We start from the raw sequence: 7,344 nt of genomic DNA on the forward strand, positions 1-7,344 counted from the left end.
TTCTGATCACCGCAGGAGACAGTGTGAAGAGCACTAACACGATGTCTACAAATGTGTTTCCAGGTACAACTTTGTCATACATTAGCTGCGTGACCCTAGAGAAATCTCTTTGCTTACTTAGTTTCTCCAAATGGTATTTTTTCAAAAAGATGGAGATATAATGTTGCCTTTACCTTTAGAATTCCTGTTTGCTTATTAATGTTTCAGTTATTTCTATTATAGTATTTGAATTCATTACATAGAGCATTTCCCATAGGTTATAAAAGGGAGGTTTGAAATTAGAAAATGTATATAAAAAATAAGCATGGCTTTTAAAGTTCATTTGGCATTGTTTCCACACCAGGTACTACTAGTGTTTTGCTGCATTTTAAAATAGCAATTAAATGTTCCACCCCTTTTATTCACTGTAGCCATATAGTTGCCACTCTATAGACTTTAAACTAACATGGAAGAAGCCATGTTACTTAATTATCAAAATTATTAATTTGTCTTTATCATAAAATGTTGCTGAGTAGAATTGGTTTATATACTACTATTCAGGGCTGCAGCATATCATCTATCTTCAATCATCAAAACACATTTTCTTTTTTAAAAAAATCAATAAACTATAAGCACCACAAGTTGAGCTTCATCTTCTTGCTGAATTCTATTTGTACACTTTCCAGAAATTACCTCTGAAAGGGAAGAAAAGCAAACTTCAGATCTATGTTGAGTCTAATTAAGATAAGTACATTGGGTAACTTGGAATGAGACCCACACCACCAGGAAACTTCAGTTCATTTCCCAAGTGTAAATAAACACATCCACTTTGCTGTTAATAAAAGCAATGGCAGGGCAATAAAAAGCTTGGCTGACATGAATAAAGATGAAGTTGTGAATACTTAATGACAAAAAGCCCCAGTTAAGAGACACAGACCTGGAATAAGTTAGTTGGAATACATGTGAATTTCCACCAGTGAGGGGCAGGACCTGTAAGTTTCACAGTAATGCTGAGCTTCAAATGTGTGAGTTCCATAAATTCACTTTCAAATAAGACTTTGGGGTTTATTTTAGATCTGGCATTTAAAATGCAGGAGAGATGCAATGCTCATGGATGGCGTACTTGGTGTTTCTTTATCAGGTGGTGGGTGAACATGGGTTGACGAGGAGGCCAAGTTGGAGATTTATAGAAATTCAACCCCCTTTTATATAAAGGTTAATTCCAAATGTACCATTTTAGAAACCTGTTTAAAAGTGTTCATATCCAGAAAGCAAATGAGGGATTTTATCTAACAGGAAGGAAGAGAGATACAGGTGGTAACCATATTTTGTTTAGGGCTCGTACAAATTTGTAGATTGGCAAACAGGTTTGTAAGCATCAGCTTACAAACTGGTCTTTGGGCAAGTCCTTTCCCCACTATGGGACTCAGTTTTCCAAGCAATACACTTTTTATTTTAAAATGGATGTCTTCCAAAGTCCTTTCAGCTGTAATATTGTAGGATGCTATAAGATTATTTTAATGATTTCATGGAAGCATGAGTTGAATTATTTCTGCCTCTGAGTTTTCATTAATAAAGATTTGCCTTCTGATTTGCACATGAGTATCTTGTAAGTTTGGTGGGTGAAAGTCCTTCCAGACAACTTGATCTACTGTACGGCACCATTCAATCATTAATTCAACAAACACTTATTGAGTGCTAGGAACCACGTCTCCAACAAGTGTCAAGAGCTCCTCGACTGAAAACCAAGCTTAGAAATGAATGCTTTCATTTGAATGTGGTCACTAGGGAGGCCCTCTCCGTTCAGCAGATGATCCCCACAATCATCTTTATTTCAGTGTTTTCTAACTATATTGGTATTCCCAGTATTGATCTATATAACCAAAATAAAATTTACTTATGTCTAAATCTTTGTTACAGCACCAAACTGGACAGACTTTTAACAAATTTAAGGAGAATATTTGGAAGAGCCAACTGTATGACAGCCAACTGTATGATAGTACATGAAGAACCTGGAATTTACTTTGAGTGCCCTAAGAGTATACTGAGAGATAGGTGGCCCTCCTCAGAGGCAGCTAAAACTAAGGTTCAACACGATGTCCCGACACCTGCCAATTAAGAAATAGATACATTAGGATACTGTGAGATAGAAAACAAATACTCATTTCAAGTATTAGTCCCAAATTCCAAGAACTGATTTACAGTCAAGCTGTTTCTTGGCGAACAGCTCTATGTAGCATGATGAAGTGAAGTGACAGCAAAAGTTTACTTATTTAAAGATGATTAACAGTTCTCCCAAGTGGCCGGGCGCAGCGGCTCAGGCCTGTAATCCCAGCACTTTGGGAGGCCGAGGTGGGCAGATCACAAGGTCAGGAGTTCAAGACCAGCCTGACCAATATGGTGAAACCCTGTCTCTACTAAAAATACAAAAATTAGCTGGGCATGGTGGCACACACCTGTAGTCCCAGCTACTAGGGAGGCTGAGGCAAGAGAATCACTTGAACCCAGGAGGTGGAGGCTGCAGTGAGCCAAGGTTGCACTACCGCAGTCCAGCCTGGACGACAGAGTGAGATTCTGTCTAAACAAAAAAACAAAAACAAAAAAAAAAACAATTCTCCCAAGTAACACTGAAGGAGTCATCTACAAAAGTTACTTATTTACCTCCATAAGTAATCTGTATTTAAGTAAATATAAAACAAACATTTATTAGTAAGGGTACTATGTGGAAAGCAGAAGATTAGCGTGCATTAAATATGATCTCAACCCTCTAGCCTGTAAGTTAGAGAGAAAAGATAGTGACGTAAATAACTATTCTAGATATCCAATTTTTAATGGCAGAGTAATGATAGTCCTGCTCCTTTGATGTCTTTGAAATCACCCAAAAACAACAAAGAAAGAGTAAATATAAATGTGCAATCCAGAATTTGGACACACACAAACACACACACACATACATTACATTTGCAGGAAACAATTCATTGTTGAGGAATAACAACCTCCATTACAAGCAGCCTTATTTCTGCCAAGCTTTGTTTGAGAGGTGAAGCCAGCTGGACTTCTGGGTCGGGTAGGGACTTGGAGAACTTTTCTGTCTTACAAGAGGATTGTAAAATGCACCAATCAGTGCTCTGTAAAAATGCACCAATCAGCGCTCTGTGGCTAGCTAGAGGTTTGTAAAATGGACCAATCAGCACTCTGTAAAATGGACCAATCAGCACTCTGTAAAATGGACCAATCAACAGGACATGGGCGGGGACTAATAAGAGAATAAAAGCTGGCCAACCCAGCCGGCAGGGCAACCTGCTGGGGTCCCTTTCCATGCTACGGAAGCTTTGTTCTTTTGCTCTTCACAATAAATCTTGTTGCTGCTCACTCTTTTGGTGTGTGCCACCTTTAAGAGCTGTAACACTCACTGCGAAGGTCCGCGGCTTCATTCTTGAAGTCAGTGAGACCATGAACCCACCAGAAGGAACCAACTCTGGACACATGTTGAATAGGTAGTAGTTTGAATCCTAAAACAATTCACCCACGTGTACAAAACCCTGAGTAATGAGAAACCAGGGACAATTCCTGCTGGCCTGAAAGACAGTCCTGGACTGGGGGCGGTGGGTCACGCCTGTAATCCCAGCACTTTGGGAGGCTGAGGTGGGCAGATCACGAGTTCAGGAGATCGAGACCATACTGGCTAACATGGTGAAACCCTGTGACTACTAAAAACACAAAAAATTAGGTGGGCGTGGTGGCAAACGCCTATAGTCCCAGCTACTCGGGAGTCTGAGGCGGGAGAATGGTGTGAACCCAGGAGGAAGAGCTTGCAGTGAGCCAAGATTGTGCCACTGCACTCCAGCCTGGGCGACAGAGCAACACTCTGTCTCAAAAAAAAAAAAAAAACACACACACACAGTCCTAATATCCCCCACTGAAACTTCCTAAAAACAGCTAGTCCAGGAGAAACTTTTCATATTTGAAACTGAGTAGGAATTTTTTGTAAGAAAAGATTACACAAAAGTGTCATAAGAAAAAAAAATGGGTAAAGAATCTGGAAGAATAAATGACAAAGAACTCTCATTAGAAAACATGAAAGCAGATGAAAATTATAATCAACATACTGCCATGAATTTTTAAAACTGGAAACAATTACAACTAACAAACAAGAGCACAAGGCAAAAACAAAGAGCTAGAAAAGCTATGACATTATAAGGAAATGATATATTAACTGGTAGAACTCAGGAAAGAAGTAAAACGGATAAATCATTATTAAAAAGGGTTATATTGCGGTGGCTCACACCTGTAATCCCAGCACTTTGGGAGGCCGAGGCAGGTGGATCATGAGGTCAGGAGATCAAGACCACCCTGGCTAACACAGTGAAGCCCCATCTGTACTAAAAATACAAAAAATTAGCCAAGCATGGTGGTGGGCGCCTGTAGTCCCAGCTACTCCGGAGACTGAGCCAGGAGAATGGCGTGAACCCAGGAGGCGGAGCTTGCAGTGAGCCGAGATCATGCTACTGCACTCCAACCTGGGCGACAGAGCGAGACTCCATCTGAAAATAAATAAATAAATAAATAAAACAGATACAAAAATTAGCTGGGTGTGGTGGCAGTTGCCTGTAATCCCAGCTACTTGGGAGGCTGAGGCAGGAGCAGTGCTTGAACCCAGGAGGCGGAGATTGCAGTGAACTGAGATCGCACCACTGCACTCCAGCCTGGGCGACAGAGCAAGACTCCATCTCAAAAAAAAAAAAAAAATCAAGTGATTTCAGATTTGTCTGCTTCAACCTAAGAAGTGCCCCACTAGAAAAATGCCTACAAAGATTTTTGAGGAATAAAATATGACTCAAGAGTTTTAAACTCAGCCAAACTGTCATTCACATATAAAACCTATAGATAAATATATTTCCCATGAGACTTTTCTGAAGAAACTACAACAAGAGAAAACTCACTTAATCAATGATAAACGGAGAAACTACACTGAAATAACAGACACTGAACATTTAATCCACTTAACTGTTTGGCTACAACTAAAGTAAACATAGAGATAAAGACTACATAAACAAATGTAAATGGGAGTGGGAGTCCAGCACAGTGGCTCGCTCCTGTAATTCCAGCTGCTCTGGAAGCCGAGGCAGGAAGATCACTTGAGACCAGAGGTTCAAGATCAGCCTAGGCAATATAGCAAGACCCCTATCTCAAAAAGAAAAAAAATTTTTTTTAACTAGCCAGGTGTGGTTGTGCATACCTGTAGTCCCCATTACTTGGGATGATGAGGTCGGGGGATAACTTGACCCCAGGAGTTTCAGGCTGAAGTTAGGTGTAATCACACTACTGCATTCCATCCTGGGCAACAGACTAAGAACCTCCTCTCTTAAAAAAATAAGATAAAATAAAATAAATGGTATACACTCTCCTGACAACATAAAAAATGATTAAACAATAAGATTGAGAGACATAAAAAAGACAGGGAGTTACATAATATAGTAATTTTCTCATATTTATAAGCTAGAAAATTAAGAAATAGTGGTAATAAAGTTATAAGTAGATGTAAGGCTATAAAAGTGCATGTTAAAAATATATATAAGTAATCCAAAAACTAAATGGAAAGCAGAGGAAATACACTGATTTCAATATTGAGGAAAAATACAAACACAGAAGGAGAACAGTACAACAAAAATTTCACCCACAGAGATTACATGGAAAAAAAATTTTGGCCAGGCAAGGTGGCTCACGCCTGGAATCCCAGCACTTTGGGAGGCCGAGGTGGGCGGATCACGAGGTCAAGAGATCAAAACCATCCTGGCCCAAATGGTGAAACCCCGTCTCTACTAAAAATACAAAAATTAGCTGGGCATGGTGGCAGGTACCTGTAGTCCTAGCTACTCAGGAGGCTGAGGCAGGAGAATCGCTTGAATCCAGGAGGTGGAGCTTGCAGTGAGCCAAGATCGCACCATTGCACTCCAGCCTGGGCGACAGGGCCAGACTCCGTCTCAAAAAAAAAAAAAAAAAAAAAAAATTAAGCACTAAAAACAGAATTAACATAAAATATAGTGACAGAACAAAGTTGAAGTCTATCTGTATAGCAGCAAATGATTTGATGAAATACGTTTACTAAAAGAAAATGATCCAAGCAATGAAGCACCACATAGCAGTTTTTGAAAAATAACTATCAAAATCCCAGCTGCCTTTCTCGCTGAAATTGAAAAGCCAACCCTAAAATTCATCTGGACATGTGAAAAACCCACAATTGCCAAAAACAGTCTTAGAAAAAAGATGAACAATGTTAGAGGACTCATAGTTCCTGATGTTGATACTTACCACAGGGCCACAGTAATCAAGACAGTATGGTACTGGCTTAAAGACAGAAATATAAAACAGTGAAATTAAATTGAGAGTCCAGATATAATCCCCTACTTCATGATCAACTGATTTTTAACAAGGGTGCTAACACATTTCAGTAAGAAAAGAATAGTCTTTTTGACAAATGGTGCCAGTACAACTGACTATCCACATAAAAATAAATAAAGATGGATCTCTACTTTACAAAAAAAAATTAACTCTAAGTGGATCAAAGATGTAAATGTAAGGGCCAAAACTACAAAGCTTTTAGAGGAAAACGTAGGAGGAAATCTTTCTGATCTTGGATTAGGGAATTACTTATTAGATATAATACGAAAAGCATAAGAGACAAAAAAAGTTAAACTGACTTGAACAAAGTTAAAAAATTTTGTGCTTCATAAGGCATCACCACAAAAGTGAAAAGGTAACCCACAGAATGGGAGAAAATATTTGCAAACATTTGTAAATATCTGCTAAAGGACTTCTATCAAGAATATATAAAGAACTCTTACAACTAAACAATAAAAGGACAATTAGCCCAACTTTTAAAATGAGGAAATGATCTAAGATTTGAATAGCTACTTCTTTGAAAGAAGATACACAAATGTCCCATAAGCACATGAAAAAAAAAAAGTTCCACATCATTAGTCTTTAGGGGACTGCAAGCCAAAACCACAATGAGATACCACTTCTCACCTACTAGAATGGCTAAAATCAGAAGATGGACAATAACATCTGTTGGTGAGGATGTAGAGAAATTAGAACCCTCCTACACTGCTGGTGGACATTTTAAAATGGTGCAGCCACTTGCCCAACAGCTTGGTAAAACCTCAAAAACGCTAAATATAGAATTATAATTAGATCTAGCAATTTCGCTCTTAAGATATCTGTCTTAATTCTTTCAGGCTGCTATAATAAAATGTCTTAAACTGGGTAGCTTATAAATAACAGAAATTTATTTTCTCACACTGCTGGAGACTGGGGAGTTCAAGATCAAGGCTCTGGCAAATTTGGTGTCTAGTGAGGCCCCAT

General features: G+C 38.8%; 1 long non-coding RNA gene across 6 annotated transcripts in view, besides 1 other annotated feature; it reads right to left on the minus strand.

The window, feature by feature from the left end:
* LINC01418 (long intergenic non-protein coding RNA 1418) overlaps positions 1-5,345 on the minus strand; it is a 107,448-nt gene extending 102,103 nt beyond the window's left edge. For 4 of the 6 annotated variants that reach the window (XR_001751639.2, XR_001751642.2, XR_001751641.2 and 1 more), the window contains exon 1: positions 5,219-5,333. This is a non-coding gene — a long non-coding RNA (long intergenic non-protein coding RNA 1418). Of the gene's footprint in view, positions 1-5,218 lie in introns of all 6 variants that reach the window. The other 2 variants (XR_001751640.2, XR_932527.3) reach the window with 1 other exon arrangement.
* Positions 6,905-7,105: a silencer, noted in NCBI's record as "peak2399 fragment used in MPRA reporter construct". NCBI's record gives its function as "represses an SCP1 promoter by STARR-seq MPRAs in K562 erythroleukemia cells {active_cell/tissue: K562}" and the evidence as "EXISTENCE:reporter gene assay evidence [ECO:0000049][PMID:32103011]".

Source organism: Homo sapiens, chromosome 15 (assembly GCF_000001405.40).
Source record: "Homo sapiens chromosome 15, GRCh38.p14 Primary Assembly".
NCBI lineage: Eukaryota > Metazoa > Chordata > Mammalia > Primates > Hominidae > Homo > Homo sapiens.